Source organism: Homo sapiens, chromosome 2, assembly GCF_000001405.40.
Source record: "Homo sapiens chromosome 2, GRCh38.p14 Primary Assembly".
Lineage (NCBI taxonomy): Eukaryota > Metazoa > Chordata > Mammalia > Primates > Hominidae > Homo > Homo sapiens.
Window position 1 is genome coordinate 32824633 of NC_000002.12, and position 24473 is coordinate 32849105.

The window sequence follows — 24473 nt, forward strand, 5'->3', positions numbered from 1 at the left end:
AGTAGCTGCATTCATTAGACAGACATTTCCACTAATCCCAAGACTATACTAATAAAAGAGTAATCCCTTATGGGCTAAAGGTGGTGCTGGTTTGCTTTTAACTCTTGGAGTCCTTCACACACCAAGGCCTAATAATAATTGTAGCTGTATTTGGTTTTCACCAAGTGAACTTAACCCATTTATGCCGGAGGTTGCAATTTTTAAAATTTTTGCAATCAGAGCTTGGTGATGACCTTGAGCAGTAGAATATAAATAACTCTCACACGCTTAGCGTTCCGATAATGGAACACTAAGCATAAATGGGTTAAAAGCCGAGCTTATCTTGGAATTTTTCTATTCTTATTTTTTTAAATTGCAGGAGCTTAGTGAAGAAAGAGGTGCTTTTTACTCTAGATATGTAGCTTTCAGCAAAGCCAATTCAAAAATCAGTTTGTGTGTGTGTATGTTTTCTCGATACTTTATCATAAAGCACTTGTCTCTTTCACCTTGGTTCATAGAAGTGTTCGCTTGAGCAGATTCTGTTTTGTTCTTTGATGTTAGGATAAATAACAATGGTCAGTTTTGAGAGCATTTGCAAGCTCTCACTATAGTGGTTTGCCTTTTTACGTGGACTTTTTCCCCTTCAATAGCTCTTTACTCCTCCTATGTTACTCAGAGCTAGCTGTAATCCGTTTGCTTAGCACAACACCAAAATCTTTCCCTTGCCAGTGGTGTCAAATCTGCCTTCCTTTTTATTATTCTGACTTATAAACTGCAGTGACCTCTGAGTCAACTTCGCCATCTCTTGGCCCTGTGCCAACATTGTGTTCTGTGAAAAGAGAGTCCTGCCAAGGGCTACGAGGCAGAAAACTGATATTATTAAAGTGGTCTTCTGAACGGTAAGTATCAGCCATTTTCTAATCTTTTGTGATGTTATTGCCAGAAAGGGGGAGGGGGGGGTAAATCATGTTAATGTTGTTAAGGATCTAACCCATGCATTGCTAACTTTTTCCAGATCGAGGGCTCAGATGCACATCAGTATCTATAGGCACACAGAAATTATTGCACAGCGCTGTTCACAGACAGATGTGCTTCTTGAAGACTCTATTACTGTGAGACTCGAAGAAGTTTCTTAATGTCTGAGCCTCAGTTCCATTATCTGTAGCCTGTTAGTGATCCATATTGTACAGGGGTGTTATATACAATACCAGTTGAGAAGATGCATATAAAGTGCTTTAAAAATAAATGATATAGAAACATGATGCAAGCAAGAGTGTCTTCGAAACCATTTGATTATTAACACTGACAACCTTTTCTGTGCCCCACTCAGAAGCCTGATGACATTCAGTGCTGCTGGGCTGTGATACCAAAATGTTTATTAGCATTTTCATTCTATAGCAACCTTTTCCCCATTTCTGGGTGGCAAGTGGTGATAAGGGAAGGGATAAAGAAGAAAACATGATGGATTTTTATGAAGTAAACGAGAAAGAACCAAGTTCCCATCATTAGGATTTCTCAGGTTGGTGCTAAGAAAAGGAAAGAAAAAGAGGATGGGGAGTAACAGGCAAAAGCAAAACAAAAAACTGATGAAATGGGGAAGTGGCTGACTAGGATGAAGTCAGAGAATTAGAAGACCTGGATGAAGTCTCAGCTTTACCGCCTCCTAGCTGTGACCACACCTGAGCTCCTGAACCTCTCAGCCCCAATTTCCTCAGCTATAAAAATGCAAATACCCACCCTACAGACCAGACTGAATTTATCAGATGATGTATGTGAAGTACTATGTGAGCAACTGTGTACAATTAGTTATTGTTATGATCAAGAGAAAGGGGCATTGTGGATGGTCTATCGGTTCCCAGGGGCTGGTGGAGTCCCTGGATAGGAGTATGCAGCAACTTGGCTCCAGTTTCTGTAATCCCATGGGGGTCAGAACCCTGGGGTTTGAGAAACAATGCTGCAGAATATCTTTCAGTCTTGTCCTTCATCACTCTATTTACTGAATCAATTTGGCCTAGAGGATATCTGGTGCCAGGGTTGATAAAAGCTGTCTTGGGATTTTTACAGCTGTCTGGTCAGAAGACATGCTTATGCCATAACAGCTCCAGCTCCTTCTCTCACTCTCTCTCTCTCTCTCTCACACACACACACACACACACACACACACACACACGAACAGCACTAGAATGTGCTTTACATATGAAGTTGATTCCCCTGATCATTATCAGTAGGACATAGGGTGATTTCTTCAGATAGGTATGCTCTGATTAATGTTCACCCTCCTCCTTTAATAAATTGCAGAAGTGTCCCATGTTTATCTCCAAAAAATTAGAAAATACAAATAAGCAAGAAGAAAAAAAATCATCCAAAATCCCACCCCTGTAGAAGTTAACCCTGTTAACTTTTTTGTATATCCTTCCAGACTATTATATAAATAAATACACATATATCTGAGAGATATTGGCTTTTTGTTTGTTTTTACTTAATTAAGCTTTTCAGTAAAACACATGGAAGCAGGCCCTTCATTAACATTTGTGGAGCTCCAGGCCAGAGTACATATAGAGGCCTGCTTACTATATATCTAAATATTTCAAAGTTAAAAATCAAGCAAAGAAATGGTTAAATAAAATTTGTTTTATGCTTTGATCTTGACAGATATTCCTTTATAATGACTTGGAAGGACATATTTTAATTTGGAGTTCTCAAACATCTCAGAATTCAACCAAAAAGGGGTGCAGAGAGAGTCAGCTCCCTTCCCCTATCCTGCTTTTCAGGGTCCCAAGTACACATGTGCACACTCCAGCTGCAGGTGTCAGGCATGTCTTCAGCACCCACAAACAGCTCTGCATGGCTACCACTCAGACCTGGGAGTGCACAGACCAGACGCCACTCCACCCTCAGGATTATGGGCACAGAAGAGAGGCACATGCAGCTTCTGGATGCAGGCTTTGGGCCTGTGGGCAGGGAACTCCTGGGGTCCCAGTTACCTGAGCGTGGTCTAGAAGATGGGGCTAATACAGGCTCTAGGCATAAGCAAAAAGTGTCTGGAGGAGGGACAGAAACAGAAAGTCCCAAAGCATAGGGATTTCTTGCCTTGGTTTAAGGGTGGTACTGACGGGAAAATGGTGTCAGATACAGGAGTTGTTGGGAAGAACACCTATTCCTCTTTCCTTAATATTCCTTGAAAGTGAGAAAATTTCTGTTCCACAAGGTAGGAAGCAAAAGAAAAGGAGCCTCTCTCTACTCCATATTTATTCCAAGGGAGGAGGAGCAACTTAAGGAACTAAGGAACCAGACAAATCCAACTCTCTCTCTCCCTCTTTGTGTCTGTGTGTGTGTGTGTGTGTGTGTGTGTGTGTGTGTATCTCTTTCTGTGTCTCTCTCAAGATAGGTAAAACCATGACACTGTTGGCATTTGGGCTGGATAATTCTTTGTTGTTGGGAGCTGTCCTGTGAATTTTTATTTTTTATTTATTTATATTTATTTATTTATTTATTTATTTGAGACGGAGTCTTGTTCTGTTACCCAGGCTAGAGTGCAGTGGCGCAATCCCCACTCACCGTAACCTCCGCCTCCTGGGTTCAAGCGATTCTCCTGCCTCAGCCTCCCAGGTAGCTTGGACTACAGGCATGCGCCACCACGCCCAGCTAATTTTTGTATTTTTAGTAGAGATGGGGTTTCACCATTTTGGCCAGGATGGTCTCAATCTCCTGAACTCGTGATCCATCTCAGCAGATCACGACACCCCAAGTGTCTCCTGGGGGACAAAATTACCCTCTTTTGAGAACCAGTAGGTTAAACAACAGATTAGACAGATAAGGAGAGAATTAGTGAAGGGAAGGATAGCTCTAGAGATAATTCAGCACATTCTACATCAGACAGGGAGAGAAATAAAAGTAGGTAAGAGACACAGAGGATAGATTTCCAGAAGAATATATCTAATCAGAATTTCAGAAGGATATGAAAGAGAATTGGGAAGAAGTATTTGAAGAGTTAATGGCTGACAGTTCTTCAGAATTGATGAAAATTATTCTCAAAATCAGAATATCCACATAGACTTTAAAATCACCTCTCAATTTACACATACGCATAGCCTACAGGATTTTTAAAAGGAAAAAGTTTTAAATTATACCATTTATAATGGCATGAAAAATTCAGATACTTTGCAATAAATATTTTTAAAGATTGATAAAGGCACATATATCAGCAGGAAAAAACATTTTCAGGCAGACTATACATTATATGTGTTGAAACATCACTATAGCCCATAAATATCTGCATGTTATTATATGTCAATTAGAAAATAAAATAACTCTTAAAAAGTCCTAAATTTAAAAATGGTGGGAAATACCATGTTGATGAATTGGTAAACTCAGTATAGTAAAGATGTTGTTTTTCCTCAAATTGATCTATATATTCAATAGTCTTAATAAAAATTCCAGTCTACTTTTTTGTGGAAATTAAAAATATGATTCTAAAACATACAGGTTGAGCATCCCAAATTCTGTATCTAGAAAACCTTATAGTCCTTCCTTCAGCTGATAAACAACTTCAGCAAAGTTTCAGGATACAAAATTAATATACAAAAATCAGTAACATTCCTATGTACCAACAACCAGCCAAGCTGAGAACCAAATCAGAAACACCATCCCATTCACAATTGCCCCAAAAAGAATAAAATACCAAGGAATACAGCTAACGAGGGAGGTGAAAGATCTCTGCAATGAGAGTACAAAACACTGCTCAGAGAAACCAAAGATAACATGAGCAAATGGAAAACATCCCATGTTCATGGATAGGAAGAATCAATATCATTAAAATGGCGATACTGCCCAAAACAATTTATAGATTCAATGCTATTTGTATCAAACTACCAATGACATTCTTCAAAAACTAGAAAAAACTATTTTAAAATTCATATGGAACCAAAAAGGAGCCCAAATAGCCAAGGCAATCCTAAGCAAAAAGAACAAAGCTGGAGACATCATGTTACCCAACTTCAAACTATACTACATGGCTACAGGAGCAAAAACAGCATGGTATTTGTATAAAAACAACACATAAACCAATGGAACAGAATAGAGAGCCCAGAAATAAGGCTGCACACCTACAACCATCTGATCTTCAACAAAGCTGACAAAAGCAATGGGGAAAGGAATCCTTATTCAATGAATGGTGCTGGGATAACTGGTTAGCCATATGCAGAAGATTGAAACTGGACCCCTTCCTTATACCATATTAAAAAAAAATCAACTCAAGTTGGATTAAAGATTTAAATGTAAACCCCAAAACTATAAAAACCCTGGAAGACAACCTAGGCTATACCATCCTGGACATAAGAACAGGCAAAGATTTCATGACAAAGACACCAAAAGCAATTGCAACAAAAGCAAAAATGGACAAATGGGACCTAATTAAGAGCATCTGCACAGCAAAAGAAACTATCAACAGAGTAAAGAGAAAACCTACAGATAGAGAGAAAATTTTTGCAAACTATGCATCTGACAAAGGTCTAATATCCAGCAGCTATAAGGAACTTAAACAAATTTACAAGAAAAAAAAACACTAAAAAGTGAACAAAGGACATGAACAGACACTCTTCTAAAGAAGACATGCATGCAGCCAACAAGCATATGGAAAGAAGCTCAATATCACTGATCATTAGAGAAGTGCAAATCAATACAATGAGATGCCATCTCAAACCCAGAATAGCTGTTATTACAGAGTCAAAAAATAAGATACTGGTGAGACTGCAGAGAAAAGGGAACACTTAATATACTGCTGGTGGCAGTATAAATTCGTTCAATCATTGTGGAAAGCAGTATGGTAATTTTCCTAAAGACAGAAAATCCATTCAACCCAGCAATCTCATTACTAGGTATATACCTAGGGGAATATAAATCATTCTACCATAAAGACACATGCACATGAATGTTCATTGCAGCACTATTCAAATATCAAAGACATGGAATCAACCTAAATGCCCATCAACGGCAGATTGGATAAAGAAAATGTGGTACATATACAGCATGGAATACTGTGCAGCCACAAGAAAAAATGAGATCATATCTTTTGTGGGAACATGGATGGAGCTGAAGGTCACTATCCTTAGCAAACTAACGCAGGAACAGAAAACCAAATACTGCGTGTTCTCACTTATAAGTGGGAGCTAAATGATGAGAACTCATAGACACGAAGGGAACAACATACACTGGGGCCTACTTGAGGATAGAGACTGGGAGGAGGGAGAGGAGCAGAAAAAATAACTACTGGGAACTAGGCTTAGTACCTGGGTGATGAAATAATCTGAACAACAAACCCCCCCTCCACGACACAAGTTTACTTATATAACAAACCTGCACATACACCCCTGAACCTAAAAGAAAAGTTTAAAAATGTAAAAACTATATATCAATAAGAAAAAAATCAAGTGGGAAAAAACAAGTATTTTGCAAAAGAGGATAATATCCAAAGAAAAATACAAAAATACACTCAGTCATCAGAGAAATGCAAATTAAAATAAAGAGATAGGACCACATACTCAAAAGAATGGCTAACGTTAAAATGACTCTGCATACCAAGTGTTAGGATGTGGAGTAGGAGTAACTCTTAACAATGCTAATGGGAGCACCACTTGATAGAAACACTCCGGAAAACAGCTGGGCAATATCTGCAAACTTCGAAGATATGCATACCCTATGGCTGAACAGTTTTACTCCTGGGGTGCACACACATACCCAAGCACAAATGCAGGCACCAAAACTCTCATACAAAAATGCTTATAGCAGCGTTATCTATAATAGTCCCCAAATTGAGAAAATCTAAATATCTACCAACAGTAAAATAGATGCATAAATGGTGGGATATTCATGCAATGATGTGGTCTGCATCAGTGAAAGTGAATGTTCTAGCCATACCACGGCAATAACATGAGTGAATCTCTCCAACACTATGTTCAGCAAAGGAAGCCAGATGTTAAAAACATTAAAAATTTAAAAAGTGCATGCTGCATATTTCCACATATATAATAAGTTCAAAAAGCAGATTAAATTAAACTGTGTTATTTAGTGATGCATGCTTAGTATAAAAACTATAAAGGAAAGCAATGAAGTGATCACCACCAAAGACAGGCTAATGACTACTCTTGTGGGTATAAATGGGTGGTGGATGAATGGTACTAAAGGACTTCCGGGGAGCTGGCAGTATCATAGTTATTAACTGGGCTCATGGCTAACATGGTTCTTCTGGCAAATCATCAAGTTATACATTTTTGTTTTGTGCATTCTTCCCAAATGTGTGTTGTGTTTCACAGTAAAAAGCATTAAGATATTAGGAAGAGTGCAGTCAACTCTTAATGTGAACCTGAATGTCTGCCTTCTCCTCTCCACGTTTTTGCACTTTTCTACCTCTTTGTCTTTTCCTTCTTTTTGAGGAGACCTGAGCTCTTTCCTCAAGTAATTTTTCTCACAACTCATAAAATTGACTTTTGAAAAATCATACTGCATTTTGAGGTGAAACTTGGCAACACAAACCCAAACTTAACTCCATGTAACTTTAACTCCCCACCCACCCCCACTACCAAACACCTCCTTAAACAAAATATAACAACATTTTACAACTATAAGGTGCTTTTACCCTAAGGCAAAAATGTGGATAATTTGACATTGCACTCTAAATTCTTTATTTCTTTTGTCTAATACAGTTAAGATCCTGTGCTGTCTGGATAAATAGGGGGGTACTAACCTAAGGCAACCCAGGCCAGCATAGGCAGTGATTGAGTGTGGTCATCTTGGTGACCAAAGCCAGCTTCTCACATTTCTTCTTGAAAAGCATGGTGCTGACATGTTTAATATCCTATGGCATTCCCTTTGGGCTCTGTAGACTGATGGAAAAGGCCCCTGTTAACATCTGATGGCCAAGTTGAATAGCACAGCCTTGAGACCCTCCACTTCACAGCTCCGGTTAGGGGGGTGATTTCTCACCAAGTTGTAGTAGAAATACCGATAGTCATATCCTGGCAGGATCCACATACCACCGGTTATAGGGAGAACACTTTTGTGTGCCTGGATGGTTTTGGACAAACAAAGGTGAAATCTCACCCACAACTTCATAGGGAATGATAAATCAAAATCCAGCACACTACAAAAAAGAAAAAGATAAAGCTAAGGTTTGAAGTTTTTCTGGAAGAATTCCAAAAATGCATATTTCAAGGGAATGTCTCAGGGCAACCCTAAATAGACTGGTGACCTACAGATCAAAGACACTGTATTTTATTAGCCGTCTCCTGACCCAGCCAATCCAACTGTCCTTCCCTAACTGTTACATGCATCCAGATAAACCCTCCCCTGTCTGTCTTTACTTTCTTCCTCCGAGAATCACAAATCAACCCTGACAACATTTGGTTTCTCATCTTAAGGAATGTTGCTGGTACATTCTTTATGTGAAAGAGGCAATCCCAGGAAGGGGTATGAACCAGACTGAATGAAGAGTATCTTATTTCATCTGCACAGAACAAAAGAGTGTCTTTCCTTTCCCAATGCCTGCAAGAGTCTAAGGACTTGAATGAAAGCAGACTGGCTGAGCTTAGTCCTAAGGATGGATACAAGGCTGGCAGGGAAGAGGGGTTCTCTGGGGTCTGTGGGGTGACTTTCCTTCCTCCATGATTGTTCTTATAATGGAGTCCTGTCTTGCTAAGGGGAGCAGTGACTGACAGGGTTATTTATCTTTGACTGCTTCCCCACACTGATCCCACGTTCTTTTTTTTTTTTTTTTTTTTTTTTTTTTGGAGACAGAGTTTTGCTCTTGTTGCCCAGGCTGGAGTGCAATGGCGCGATCTTGCTCACTGCAAACTCCGCCTCCTGGGTTCAAGCGATTCTCCTGCCTCGGTCTCCCAAGTAGCTGGGATTACAGGCATGCACCACCACGCCCAACTAATTTTGTATTTTTAGTAGAGACGGGGTTTCACCATGTTGATCCCAAGTTCTATAGGTACGGTTGGGATATAATTATTTTGAAATGTTATGAGTGTTTCATAAGTTTACTCTGACCTGGGAATTTTGTGAAGTGTCAATGTGGCAGGCAGCCTGAAAGACGGTTCCCAGTGATCTCTGGCTCCTGGTATTCTCAGCCTTGTGGAATCCCCATCCCTGGAGTGCCTTGTGTCTATATAAAATATTGACAACATTGAAAGGATGTCATTTCTATGAGTAGGTTACATAAGACAGTGACTTCTATCTTGCGAGCAGAAACACTTCCTGGCTGCCTTTGATAAAGCAAGCCACCATTCGGGAGAGGACCATGTGGTCAGGAACTAGGGATGGCCTTGGGCCAACTGTCCCCATAGCCCTGAAGGAAGCAAGGAGCTGAGGAAGTCAGGTGGCCCAGCAACCCTAAAGGAACCAAATCCTGCCAACAAACACCTGAGCTTGGGGGCAAACCCAGATGGGCCTTCAGATGAGACCCTAGCCCAGGCTGACATCTTGACTGCAGCTCTGTGATAGACCCTGAGGTTAGTCCTGGCTCATCTGTGCCTGGATTTCTCTCCCTCAGAAACCATGAGATAATAAATGTGTGTGGTTTTTAAGTTGCTAACTGTATCTTAGCACTGCATTATAAAGCAGTAGGTAATTAATACAGTAGATTTCACTTAGTCACTAATTATTACAAAATATATTTCTGGATACATTTTATCATCTCAAAGATAATAGATGGACAAAATAATTAAACTGGATATGCTTTCACTCTATGTCACATTGTGTCAAAATAAGTCATCTCCTTAGAGAATTATTTGTAAACTAACAGATTATATAAGGGCAGGCATTAAGAAGCCTCTGTGGTCTAAAATGTGACTCCTCTGATTAAAGACCTTCTGGAGTTCTGCATGAAATACATACTCTTTGCTGTGACATTCATAATGTGACTCCAAACCACCCTCCCAAGATTCTTCCCCATCACACCACTCCTTGTTGGTACCTTATGCCCAAGGGGTGGTTCCTGACCACCCTTTCCACACTGCAGCCTGCCCTCCCCATCTGTCTTTTCTCCTGCTGCCCTTCTGGTGCTCTCCCTGCTTTACTCTACCTCATGTCTGCTGTGGAAAGCCTGTCTCCTCAAGACCACCCCTTCGTGAGATTTCTTACAGGTCCCACATCCACCTCTAAGCCGGGTACTCTGCCTCTTCCCCTTACACTGCAACACCACTTTTGGCCTTGTTTAGGGTATTTGCATGCTCTTCCCCTCATCCTGATTTGCTCTCTGACTCTTCTCTGATTCAGCCTCTTCTGATTTCCCATGTGAGACCAAAAGCTACATGAGGGCAGAAACTGTCCCTCATTCTTGGTGGCCCTTCCTACAACCTAGAACATCTCCTTGGGCATAGTGAAGAGATGGTCACACAGTGTTTGCAGAATTGAATTTCATGAAGGGCAGATTGTGATGTGGTGCAGCATTACCTAGATGGTGTTAACAGAATTTCTGTGTTAACAGAGATTCTATGGCCAAAGTAGTGTGAGAAACCAAGTGCGCTCTGTCCCTTTGCTATGGTTTGGATAATTGTCCCCAGCAAATCTCATTGTGAAATTTGATCCAAATGTTGGAGGTGGAACCTAATGGGAGGTGTTTGGGTCATGGCAGTGGATCCCTCCTGAATAGATTAATGGCCTCCCTCAGGGGTGAGTGAGTTCTCACTCTGTTAGTTCTCAAGAGAGCTGGTGTTTAGAAAGAGCCTGGCACCTCCCCTCTCTCTTCTGCTTCCTCTCTCACCACGTGTTCTCTTCACACACAGGCTCCCCTTCACTTTCTTTTTTTCTTTTTAAACAGACGGGGTTTCACTTTGTTGCCCAGGCTGGTCTCAAATTCCTGGGCTCAAGTAATTCACCCACCTTGGCCTCCCAAAGTGCTGGGATTACAGGAGTGAGCCACCGTGCCTGTCCCCCTTTGCTTTCCATCATGAGTAGAAGCAGCCTGAAGTCCTCACCAGATGCATATGCCAGTGCCGTGCTTCCTGTACAGCCTGCAGAACTGCAGAGGCAAATAAACTCCTTTTCATTATAAATCACCCAGCCTCAGCTATTTCTTTATAGCAACACAAAATGGACTAAGACACCCTCCATGAAGAGCCGCCCTGGGCATTAGATGACTAAAGTCTCTAAGAAGCTCTGCAGTAAAGAAACAGGCAGAGCCCAACATTCCACTCTGGCTTTCTGTAATGCTGTGATTTGGGCAGAAGGTGTGGAAGCTGCCTACTTACCTCTCTACGGGATCTCTGCCCATGTAGAGCTCACCTGAGAGCGGATGCTGTATGTTTTGTTTTGTTCTTTTCTCTCAATAAGGCTGTGAGTTTATCACACTTTGTAGTCTATACTCATTTCCCTTGTTTAGTCACAGGTGATTCCAGGGCGATTTCAATTGATGATGCTTCGAACGGATACTCAACTCCTAAAAATACACAAATCCCGCTGTTAGAAACTAAGCCACTTCTATTGCATTTAGAACCGTATTTAATAACTAGTTTGACATGGTGACTCCTGTCCTCAAGGGACTTTTTGCTCAAGAGTGCAGTGACTAAAGATTTCAGATATTAGACACCCACTTTTTCACCAGTCTTTGCCAGATTTAATTCTATTTAATGGATGTTGAATAAGCCTTTCCCATGTGTCAGGCACTATGCTAGATGCTTAGGGTACAAAACGTAATAATAAACTGTTCCTGCCCTAAAGAATGTCTATTCTGACTCAGAGCATAACATATTATTTTAATATACTTCTGCGAGTGCTGAAACTCTGTTATCACCTGCACATAAGCAGGAGATGGGGAGGCACCAGTTGAAGGCGCTTAGCTGAGAGGAAAGGGGGAACCTGGGATGAGAGTTAGTTGAAAGATGCAGAAAAGTTACCCTGAGAATAAAGGTAGCAGAAAGAAAATCTAATTTAACTTTTTTTTTTTTTTTAATATACTCTCTGCCAGCAACTCTCTGCAAGGTCCTAAGGGTTCTAAGTTGAATAAGGCCCACTCCCTCCCTTCCAGGACTTTAGCTGAGGTTGGTTGGGGCAGAAGTCGGGCAAGACTCATCGGAACGGATTAACAGAGACAGAATCCAGAGGCAACGGGGTGAATTCCAAGTATAGGTAATACTTCTAATTTTAATTTAAATAATCATTTATTTCCTCTAAGCTTTATTATTTTTTAAGAGCTAGCATCATTCCTCTGGGTGTCTTGAGCCTGTAGACTCAGCAGCTGTGAATTGAAGAATTTCTGTCTGGTTCCTGGTCACCTTTTCCCTGCTGAAAACACTGTCCCTCCCTTCTCTCTCTTCTTGTGCTTCACTTCCATGAAGGAGGGCATTAGAAGAAAGGAAAAGGAAAAGTGCTTCCCTCCCTCTGTGCTCCTGGCAACTCTAATGGTAGGATCTGTTTTGGAGGACTTGCTGTAAAGCGATGGCAGTTAGCCACGTCTGGAACCTATGTCCATGGCTGAAAGAGCCACAGGCTCTGCCGTCAGGAGACCTGTGTTAGTTTTGTCTCTGCTATTCACTGATTGTGTGCGCCTGGCATGTTAACTAAGGCTCTGTGTGTTTACCTTATCTTCAAGATGGGGTAAAAAGATACTCACAGGGGTGTGTGCAGATTAGTGCTTATGCGCTGAGCACACTGTCCAAAAGGCTATTTTAGATGTAATTCTCTTCCTCTTTTTCTTTAAATCAGAAAAGACACACTTGGTCTGAGGGTATGTTTCAGCTCAGGCATGCTGCCATCAGGACCACGTAAAGCTGGATTTTTCTACGCTAGTCCATTTGCACGTAAGCTCCTCCTTTCTCCTCCGAAGTACAATTGTTATACCTAGTAGTTGGGAAAATTGTGTCATTGTGTTTGTACCTAACACAGATGACTTAGGAATTTTTTTCTACTCCTTGGATTTATCTTCTCATTTTCTCTGGGTTACCTTGAGAAGGACAAGAAGCTGGTGTTTATATTGGCGTGCAGGATTGAGAGAGAACATAAAAATGGGTGGGACATATATATGCCGTGATGGATGGAGTCGTGAACACTTTTGGCTTAAAAATCAAATTTCCTTTGCTATTATACTCAGGTCAAGGAAGCACCAATTACTTCAGGTCTTTCCTGGAGTAATTAATTCACCTATAATGCCTTCCTCTCCTCCCTTCCTGTTATCCCTTCCCAGTAGCTTGTTTTTCTTTATTCAAAGAACATATACTGAGGGCTCTTAGGGACACACACTGTACTAGGGGGAGAGCTCCCAGGAAAAGGCAGCAGGGGCAGGAGGAAATTGCGGGGAGAGGCACACAGGCGCTCACAGCCCCCATCCTTGTCTGAGTCTGACACATCTGTCCTGGGTGGCTCTTGAAGAGCTCCACAGATGCAGTAATAAGAGAAAGGGGGCAGGAAAGGGCCCTGGGCTGCAAGGATCAGAAGGCGATAACTCAGAGAGGTGGAGTGAGTGGGCACAGGCCCCACAGGATGAACTGTGCAGAGAGGACTGAGGGGGCAGCAGCAGAACCAGCCTGGCTGGTGGTGATGGGGACAGCCCAGGCCAATGGGGGTGACTTGCGGAAGAGTGGAGAGAAACCAGCAAGTGCGTGGCCATCGGTGGGGCCTGCTCTCCTCACTCTTCTCCGCAGGTCTGACCCCTTTCATTTTAGCTCCAGATAATGAGTTTCCATCACTTCATTTAGGAAAGCACCAAATGGGACGGGCCCTGTTTTGGGACTGGGGATGCAAACACAAGCAGGACCTTGTCACTGCTCCCAGGGAGCCCGCCGCGTGGTGCTGCGGTTCCTGTTCAGGGCTGCGTAGCAGAATCACCCCGGGGAGCTTTTAAAACACACACCATCCGGAGATTCAGATTCAGCAGGACAGGGTGGGGCTGCCATTTCCCTATCTGCTGGTGAACCTCGAGCTAATGAAAATAGAAAGAGAAGGACGAGGAGGTCAACACCCCTGTTTTCCAGGCACTGTGCTAAGTGCTTTATATAAGAGGAAGTGAAATATATGAACAGTGGTGTGCTTCCGCTGGCTCACACCAGCCCGGAGGGGTCAACTCTGTACCTTTCTTCTCAACTTGACATTCAGTGACATCACACTAGTACTTTGAAATGAGCCCTGGTGGGAATATTACAGCATGGAAATGGACAAATGCTAAACACCGGGGCATTTTCCCCTCTAGAAAGCCAGTTGTTAAACATTTACCAGAACACCACTGTGTATATGTATGTTTCTTATTTAGTGTAATCTTCATAATAAACCCAGATATTATCCATGGACTAACACTTGACAGCTTTCAAATCACTTTTAAATACGTTGCCCTACTCTCGCAATGCCCCGTGAGGTATCCTTGTCCCCATTTTAAAGAAACATTGGCTCCAAGAGGTCACACGGCCAGGAAGGGACAGACCTGACATGAAAGGCCAAGCTTGCCTCCTATCAGCCTTGTTCCTGCTATGGCAGGCCCAGCAGGCAGATTTCTGGTTCTGAGCCAGGGTCCTGGTCACAGGGGCTGGAGGGACTAGGCCTGACCCCGTTCTCAGATGTCTGATAACAGGAAGTTTCCCCCCAACACTGGGAGGCTTAGCTTAATAAATGAGTTTCCTGTTCTGCTTATTTGCGTACATTGAGGATTCTCATGCTACGTTTGGGCCTACATAGGCAGGCTTCCAGGGGCCTCCAATTCAGGGGCTTGCTGTTTCCAGGGGGACTGGCTGTGCTAGGGAAATGTGCCCTTGGCTGCCATGGAAAGAAGGGAATCTAGAACTTTTTAAAACCTGCCCCTTCAAGGTCTTGGCCAAGGCCATGGGAATTTCCAAATATTTCACTTGTCCCAATTGAGGTAGCAATGAGGACGCTTTGCTAGAATGAGGCTTAGAGATTTATGTCCCCATGGAAAATCCCCAGAAGTGAGGGAAACTCATTCTAAAATGTCGAAAATAGCAGCAAACCGAACCAGCCCTCACAGATATCACCTGCTGTAGAAACAGAGTGTCCTGAGGAAGAAGGCAAGAAGAAATTCCTAATTCCCAGGGTCTCTCTCCCCATAATTTAGGTTTTGTCAGGACCTACTGGTATCTGTTGGGACAGACAACTGAGTGAAAAGCTAGTCGTCATGGAAAAATCAGTGAAAGACCTTTTTAAGACAGAATTTTCCTTCATGTTAGGGGTTTGGACAGCTGGGGCTATTCCACTCACATGATGCCCACTCTGATTACCGCACTCAGAATTCTTAGTTTGTCTCATATTCAGTCGCCACTACCTGGAGTTTCCACAGAGGGTGTCAAAGGTGACCTCCCTTACATTCTGAAGGATGTCCTGTCTGAGGGATGGGCTCCCAGAGGTCACTAGATGGGAATAGTGGTGTGTATTGCTGAGGACCCCAGAGGTTTTAGAACGGAAGGACTTGACGCCATGGGCTTGCTGGTGGGAGGTGGATGATCCCTTACCAAGCTGTGGCCTCACACCCTCCTATGCTCCCGACCACCCCCAGCACTGGCTTGACTCCAGTGTGAATCTTTCTTTTCTTTTGAATCCTAAACACATGTCCCCTGAAGTGTTTCAGACAGTTGGGATCAGCAGCAACCCTAGCAGTGTTTGTGCAGAACCCCCAGAGCTGACACTGCTGACTGGGACATGTGACCTGGCACCCCCAGGTGGGTGGGCCCCAGGTGAGTCCACCCGGGCTCCAGCAGAGGAACCTGCCTCCGGAGTTCGGAGGCTGTGATGCGTGGTACCGATGGACTCTGAGTTCCAGACTCGGGACACAAGGGGAGATGGAAGGCAACTGTGTAAACCAAAGAGGCAGCAGCAGGAAGGTCCCAGCGAAAGCAGATCCACTGGCCAGAATTCCCCAAAGCCTCTCTGCAGTGTGGTTCTCAGACCAGCAGCATCAACTCACTTGGGGACTTGTTAGAAATGAATCTGCCTGTCAGTGAGAGGCCCAGGGGTTCCTGTGCTTGACGGCACTGCACTAAACAAAGCTGAGCCTTTGCTAACTCCTCTAGGTCTCTACCCACTGGCTAAGACTCGGCCAAGGGCACATCTAGGGCTGGAGTATTATACAGTGAGCAGAAGATGTATGCAACTTAAAGAATAATGTTAAGGAGTGGGGGAATGCTGATTTTTTTCTCTGCCTCTCTTGTATATTCTATCATAAAGGATCTGGACTCAGAAGAGATTTAAGTTTCAAATCTGGCTTTGTCAGTTAATGCTTGTGGGATCTCAACCACGTCACTGACTTCTCTGAGCATGCTTCCATATTTCTACAAAGGAAACAATAGGTGACTCTGCTGAGTTGAGCACTTGCGAGTACCAAGCAGTAAGTGTTTTACACCTATTTACTCATTTAATCCTCCTGAAAATCCGTGTGACACCTGTGTTGTTATTACCCCCATTTGACAGGTGAGGACCTGAGGCACAGATGCTAACCAGCTTGCTGGAGATCACACACTCATGAGTGGCAGAGTGGGGCTTGGAACCGGGTAGCCTGGCTCTGGAGCCCTCACTCCATCCACACACCATGCTGGGACCCAGTCGAGTGACCAGCAGACCGGTTGTGTGGGTTAGGTGGAATGGTGGATATAAACCACACAGCCCAGCTCCTGACCCATGCTGGGCCCTCAGTAAGTTACTACTTTCATTATTATACATGCGTAGATGAAAGTTGGGTGGTAATAGTGATTTTCCCTAAGATGATGGAACTTTACGTGCCTTTGCCTTTTCTTACCTGTATATTCCTGAAATCAACAGGTTCTACTTTTGTCACAAGAAGAGAGGAAATAATTGTACTTTTTTTTTTTTGAGATGGAGTCTCAATCTGTCACCCAGGCTGGGGTGCAGTGGCACAATCTCGGCTCACTGCAACCTCCGCCTCCTGGGTTCACGCCATTCTCCTGCCTCAGCCTCCCGAGTAGCTGGGACTACAGGCGCCCGCCACCACGCCTGGCTAATTTTTTGTATTTTTTAGTAGAGACGGGGTTTCACCATGTTAGCCCCTTGATATGGTTAGGCCTTGTGTCCCCACCCAAATCTCATCTTGAATTATAATCCCTGTAATTCTCATAAGCTTCACATGTCAAGGGAGAGACCAGGTGGAGGTAATTGAATCATGGGGGTAGTTCCCCATGCTGTTCTTGTGATAGTGAGTTCTCACGAGATCTGATGATTTTATACGTGTTTGGTAGTTCCTCCTGAATTCCTTCTCATTCCTGCCGCCTTCTGAAGAAGGTGCCTTGCTTCCCCTTCACCTTCTGCCGTGATTGTAACTTTCCTGAGGCCTCCCCAGCCATGCTGAACTGTGAGTCAATTAAAACTCTTCCCTTTATAAATTTATAAATTTATAAATTCTTTATAGCAGTGTGAAACGGGACTAATACACCCTTCTTGACTTGCTTATGTGACTTGCTTATGTGACTTGCTCATTTCCAGCATGAGGCAGGAAAGGATAGAAGCCTTTCAGAGCCTGAGCCAAGTTCCTCCTCACAGAAGCACAGAGGACACTTACTCCATCTCTGAAAAAGCTGCCCACACCCCACCTCCATCCAGCCTTCCAAAAGCCACCACGAATGACCCGTAGGAGGGGCAGAGTGTGCCACTTGCTACGGACCAGAACCTCTGGGGAGCGGGGATCATCTCTGTGTCTCTCTGCTTCAACTGCATTTAAAATGAACATTCTTAATGATAAACCTTTCCGTGTGTAAAGAAGGGCGTGGAAAAATGTATGTACTGGAGACTCGGGTAATGACTTTCTAAGTGTGGAAAATTTTCCCCCAAAGTGTTTCCAAATATAGAAAAGTCACATAATAAATGATGAGGGCTCATAAACCTTTCTGGCAGCAGTTGCAGGGGTCAGAACAAGGAAGAAGGAATTCCCAGCTCCTAGGGCCTCGCATCCCACACTGTCTTCTGGGCTACTGTGCAACCAATGGTTCCGTATCTGTACGTACCCAGGGGCTCCTTAGATAAATAATTGAAGTGAAATATCAAATGTGTTACTGGTTTTTTAATGTCACTGATAAAACCCCTAAAATAGACTGCATGTCTCCCAGCTCTTCTGAACCAGGAGTGTTTGGGAAGTTGAGAATGTCACTGGTCACATTGTTCCTTTCTCTTGTGTCTCTAAAGGGTTTTGTTGTTTTAGGTTTGTTAATGGTTGTCAAACACATGCCTCAGACATTTTTAACCTCCTGGAAGCCTACTGGACTCAACACACTGAAACCAGCCCTGATTCTCTGCTGACTGCATTTGCCAAGATTGAGTCCTATAATTGTCAGGTTGCTGCCAAAGCTAAAGCCCTGCCCCACCTGCCCCGCCCCGCCACCCACCTGCCCCACCCCACCGCCCATAGCCTTCCCTGAGAACCATCTTCAACTTCTTGGCAGCTGTGATTCTCCTCACCTCTATGGGTGGAGGAAACCAGTAGGGGTGCAGAAGATCAGGGGGTTGTGGAAACCTGCATCTTCTTCATGCTCCCCAAACCTTTCTTCCTTGAAGCAAGGAAGGGCCTAGCTCTGTCACAGAAAGGGTACTGAAAGACATAACAGAAATGCCCAACCAAATGGAGATTATGAGTGAATGTGGTCACTGGGATCACAGCTGGCCCTAACAGGTCTATTCTAACTATTCTAACTCTGGTGAGCCCCCAAAGAATGAGGGACCCCCTCAGACGCTCCCAATTTATCACTTCAAAAATCTTCGAAGAGCTCCCAGAGAAACCCTGGAGCTTACACAGGCCTCCAGAACAAGGCAGGAGTTTTGGTCCTGGACAGATAACCTTGTCAGAGCATCAGAGACACAGGCACCATGTTGGGTATGAGCAAGTCCCTCTTGACCACCCTCTCCCCTCATTTTATGAACAGAGAAAGTAGCTCTCATGTCCGGAGAGACTACCAAGAAGCCCTGGGCATGTGTTTTGACTCAGAAAGTCCTAGAAGAGTAGACAGAAAGGTCACCATGTTATTTTAAACCCAAACTTGATACTTGGATGTATTCATGGCCTGGCATATAAGAGCTGAGAAATACCTCCCCACTCCACTTGTCACAGCTCAAGTCCTCACCCATGTATCAGTTTGAGGTTTGGGCTCTAGGTTTTGAGATAGAATGAAGGATCCAAAGAGTTCCCAAGAAGATGGAAAGCTATGATACATAAAGAAAGGATGAAGATTAAGCCTATGCATTCAAAGTTCTTGTGACCCATGGAAAAAATAAAAATAAAACCCAAGCAGAATGCTGAAATGCATTGTGATTCCTAAGCTTGGGAAGAAAAAGCCACAGGATGATAAAATCTCTGTGTTTAAGTAAAAGAAGGAGACTGGTTATCTGAAGAGTGCTGATCTGTTTTCTATTATCAGCTAATTCCATGATTTTATTGCCACTCTCTCCTGAGTTTCTATCATGGGCAGTGTAGGCATTGAATCAGAGAATCTTCTATGGGAAAACTCAGAGTTCAATTCAGGGGAGTGATGCCGAGGGACAGAGTTATCTCCATGGCTCATGCAAACAAGGGCCTCTCAGGTATTAGTGGTACTTTTTAAGCCTACCCAGTGACAACACATGGTGGAGAATCAGGGTTCCATTCTAGAGAGGAGGCTTGAAAGACATGTTGGCTAAGAGAAAAGTAAGGAAATACATCATCTCCAGGTTACTTAATAATATAATTTGGCTGTGTCCCCATTCTAATCTCATCTTGAATTCCCATGTGTTGTGGGAGGGACCCGGTGGGAGGTAATTGAATCATGGGGGCAAATATTTCCCGTGCTGTTCTTGTGATAGTGAATAGGTCTCATGAGATCGGATGGTTTCATAAAGAGGAGTTTCTCTGCACAAGCTTTCTCTCTTAGTCTGCTGCCATCCGTGTAAGAAATGATGTGCTCCTCCTGGCCTTCTGCCATTATTGTGAGTCCTCCCCAGCCATGTGGCACTGTAAGTCCATTAAACCTCTTTCTTTTGTAAATTGTCCATTCTTGGGTATGTCTTTATCAGCAGCATGAAAACAGACTAATACAGTAAATTTTTGACAGTAGAGTGGGGCACTGCTGAAAAGATACCCAAAAATGTGGAAATGGACTTTGGAACTGGGCAATGGGGAGAGGTTGGAACAGTTTGGAGGGCTCAGAAGAAGACAGGAAAATGTGGGAAAGTTTGGAACCTCCTAGAGGCTTATCGAATGGCTTTGACCAAAATGCTGATAACGATATGACAATGAAATCCAGGCTGAGGTGGTCTCAGATGGAGAGGAGGGACTTGTTGGGAACTGGAGCAAAGGTGACTCTTGTTATGTTTTAGCAAAGCGACTGGTAGCATTTTGCCCCTGCCCTAGAGATTTGTGAAACTTTGAACTTGAGAGTATCTGGCAGAAGAAATTTCTTATTTTTTTTCTTTCTTTCTTTCTTTCTTTTTCTTTTTTTTTTTTTTTGATACCAAGTCTTGCTCTGTTGCCAGGCTGGAGTGCAGTGGTGTGATCTTGGCTCACTGCAACCTTAGGCGGAAGAAATTTCTAAGCAGCAAAGCATTCAAGAGGTGACTTGGGTGCTGTTAAAGGCATTGAGTTTTAAAAGGGAATCAGAGCATAAAAGTTCAGAAAATTTGCAACCTGACAATGTGATAGAAAAGAAAATCCCATTTTTCCGAGGAGAAATTCATGCTGGCTGCAGAAATTTGCATAAGTAATGAGAAGCTGAATGTTAATCCCCAAGACAATGGGGAAATGTCTCCAGGGCATGTCAGAGGTCTTCACAGCAGCACCTCCCATCACAGGCCCGGAGGCCTAGGAGGAAAAAGTGGGTTTGTAGGCTGGGCCCAGTGTCTCCTGCTGTGTGCAGCCTAAGGACTTGGTGCCCTATGTCCCAGCTGCTCCAGCTATGGCTGAAAGGGGCCAACATAGAGCTCAGCCCATGGCTTCAGAGTGCAATCCCCAGCCCTTGGCAGCTTCCATGTGGTGTTGAGCCTGTGAGTGCACAGAAGTCAAGAATTGGGGTTTGGGAACCTCCACCTAGATTTCAGAAGATGTATGGAAATCCCTGGATGCTCAGGCAGAAGTTTGCTGCAGGGGTGGGACCCCCATGGAGAATCTCTGGTAGGGCAGTGCAGAAGGGAGATGTGGGGTCAGAGCCCCCATACAGAGTCCCCACTGGGGCTGTAAGAGGGCTACCGTCCTCCAGACCCCAGAATGGTATATCCACCAATAGCTTGCACCATTTGCCTGGAAAAGCTGCAGTCACTCAACGCCAGCCCATGAAAGCAGCCAGGAGGGAGGCTGTACCCTGCAAAGCCACAGGGGTGGAGCTGCCCAAGACCATGGGAACCCACCTCTTGCATTGGCATGACCTGGGTTTGAGACATGGAGTCAAAGGAGATCATTTTGGAGTTTTAAGATTTGACTGCCCTGCTGGATTTCAGACTTGCATGGGTACTGTAGCCTCTTTGTTTTGGCCAATCTCTCCCATTTGGAATGGGTGTATTTACCCAATGCCTGTATCCCCATTGTATTTAGGAAGTAACTAACTCATTTTTGATTTTACAGACTGATAGGTGGAAGGGACTTGCCTTCCCTCAGATGAGACTTTGTAGACTTTTGAGTTAATGCTAAAATGAGTTAAGACTTTGGGGGACTGTTAGGAAGGCATGATTGGTTTTGAAATGTGAGGACATGAGATTTGGGATGCACCAGGGGCAGAATGATATGGTTTGTCTGTGTCCCCACCCAAATCTCATCTTGAATCCCCACGGGTTGTGGGAGGAACCCCGTGGGAGGTAACTGAATCATGGGGGGAAGTATTTACCATGCTGTTCTCGTGATAGTGAACAAGTCTCATGACATCTGATGGTTTTATAAAGAGGAGTTCCCTTACACAAGCTCTCTGTCTTTGCCTGCTACCATCCATGTAAGATGTGACTTGCTCCTCCTTGCCTTCCACCATGATTGTGAGTCCTCCCTAGCCATGAGGAAGTATAAGTCCATTAAACCTCTTTCTTTTGTAAATTGCCCAGTCTCGGGTATGTCTTTATCAGCAGTGTGAAAATGGACTAATACACTTAAATATTGAATAAAGGCTATGAAAGAAAGAGTAGGGTTTTCTTGGGGGATCTTAAGGATGATACCCACTTTCCTTGTTTAAGAATCCTCTTGCCTGGGGATGAAGGGCTCCACTTATTTTTAGGTGTCTACAGTGTAATAGAACTCTGAGGACAGAAATCCAACTCTGATTAGCTTTGGCAAAGGGGCAGATATTTGAGGCTCACATAACCAGTCTCCAAGGGGGTAGGGATGTGGTTGATCTGGGGACATCTAGAACCAGGGAGTGGCATGCCACTAGCACTCTGTCTCACCTCTCCCTTTCTCTATGTGTTGGCATCAGATTTTTGTTTTTATTTTTCACACACTGCCTTTATGTCTCAATCTTTACTATCAAAGAGGAGCTGCATCTCTTTCCTTAGTTGCATGCCAAAACATTCCAGAGAACAGCTGTGTATTAGTCAGGATTCTCTTAGAGGGACAGAACTAATAGGAAATATATATATATATGTATAAATATATATATGTATGTGTGTGTATGTGTATATATATATATATATATATATATATATATATATATATATATGAGTTTAAGCAAGCAAATTAAAGGGGGGGTTATTAAGTATTAACTTACCCAATCACAAGGTCCCATGATAGGCTACAAGCTGAGGAGCAAGGAGAGCCAGTCCGAGTCCCAAAAGTGAAGAACTTGGAGTCCGATGTTCAAGGGCAGGAAGCATCCAGGACGGGAGAAAGATGTAGGCTGGGAGGCTCAGCCCATCTCTCCTTTTCATGTTTTTCTGTCTGCTTTATATTCTCTGGAAGCTGGTTAGATTGTGCCCACCAGATTGAGGGTGGATCTGCCTTCCCCAGCCCACTGACTCAAATGTTAATCTCCTTTGGCAACACCCACATAGACACACCCAGGATTAATATTTTGTATCCCTCAGTCCAATCAAGTTGACACTCAGTATTAACCATCACAAGCTGGGTCAAGTGTGCACCTCTGAGGGCAGGTGGCCAGGGCCCTCACTAGAACCATGTGGCTGGAGCGGACAGAGAAGCAGATCCCAGCAAGAAGGACTGAGCAGACACAGCCACAATGTCCAGCATGGCACTGCACAAGATGCCAAATTCTATGTATGAGGTGGGTCATGGAGCTGGGGGAGAAAAAAAGAAGAGAAATAGATCTTGAGAGTAGGGGTGGAGTAGGGTCAGGAGAGGGGTCATCCTGCAGCATAAGCAAGTGAATTGAAAGGACATTCAGTTCTGCTCTTGAACAAGGATGCCTCAGGCCATATACATTTCTTGCCAGTTTCCTCTCAAGCTTAACTAATAACTTTTCCTCCTTAAATTCTGTCTGAGCTAGTTGGCAAAGTGAAATAACATTTTCTGTTTATTTGTGCTTGGTATTGCTGGAAAGATTCCTATGAAGTTGTGGAGTTTTTTTTTTTCCCCTCATCATTTTGTTTGTAAATTTCTACTCAACATAAGCCATTTCTTAATAGGCTACCTGGGAACTGTGACATGTACTAGTACTGGTCAGTAGTAGCTACATCTTTCTACTTGGTGGAATCTGCCTTCCAGCTATGAACTCTAGCTGTGAGTCTGATGGAAGCTGATATGGTTTGGCGGTGTCCCCACCCAAATCTCATCTTGAATTGTAGCTCCCATAATTCCCATCTGTCATGGGAGGGACTTGGTGGGAGGTAACTGAATCACGGGGGCAGATCTTTCCTGTGCTGTTCTCATGGTAGTGAATAAGTCTCATGAGATCTGATGGTTTTATGAAGGCAGTTCCCCTGCACATGCTCTTTCTTGCCCGCTGCCATGTAAGCCGTGCCTTTGCTTCTTTTTTCCTTCTGCCATGATGAGGCCTCCCCAGCTGTGTGGAACTGTGAGTCTATTAAAGCTCTTTCCTTAATAAATTACCCAGTCTTAGATGTGTCTTTATTAGCAGTGTGAGAACAGACTAATATAGAAGCATACTTGCAGTTGAAGGTGGACAGAACAACAGGATCTTAGCTTTCCCAGAATGGGTCACCAGCCTGACAGTGGTGGTAACAAGGACATGCAGTGGAGATGATCAGGACTTTGGAGCCAGAAAGACTAGGATTTAGATCCAGGCTGTAAAATGAATAAGGACTGTTATGGAGGATGGGGCACACTGCCCAGATGCCCCTTCTTGATCATGATATTCATTGCCCCAGCTGTTGAGGGTATTGACTGGTGATGGCTTAAAACTGAGGCCTTTCCTGGGTGCTGCCGTGGCTGAGGGACCTACCTCACCCAAGGTTACACACGTCCCCAGAGTGCCTGAGCTGATTCAAGGACTCAAAGGCTCAACAGTCTCATCTCAGGTCAGGGCAATTCTGAAGTTATCCCAGCTCTAGAGCTTCTGTGGGACCTGCTGTGACCTTTGTTGTGACTGCACAGGTGTTCAGCCTCTCTCTCTGCCCCATCCTGTTTTTGTTTTTGTTTT

At 43.6% G+C, this 24473-nt stretch overlaps 1 long non-coding RNA gene across 3 annotated transcripts; it reads left to right on the forward strand.

The window, feature by feature from the left end:
* The first annotated feature begins 808 nt into the window (after nt 1-808).
* LINC00486 (long intergenic non-protein coding RNA 486) lies at nt 809-17965 on the forward strand. 3 transcript variants are annotated; one of them, NR_183190.1, is made up of 7 exons: nt 809-878; nt 11942-12102; nt 12679-12773; nt 16138-16297; nt 16381-16601; nt 17163-17275; nt 17407-17965. It is a non-coding gene; the product is annotated as a long intergenic non-protein coding RNA 486 (long non-coding RNA). The 3 variants fall into 3 exon arrangements; NR_183192.1 differs by having other exon boundaries at nt 12002-12102; NR_183193.1 differs by having other exon boundaries at nt 16381-17965.
* Nucleotides 17966-24473: the final 6508 nt, after the last annotated feature.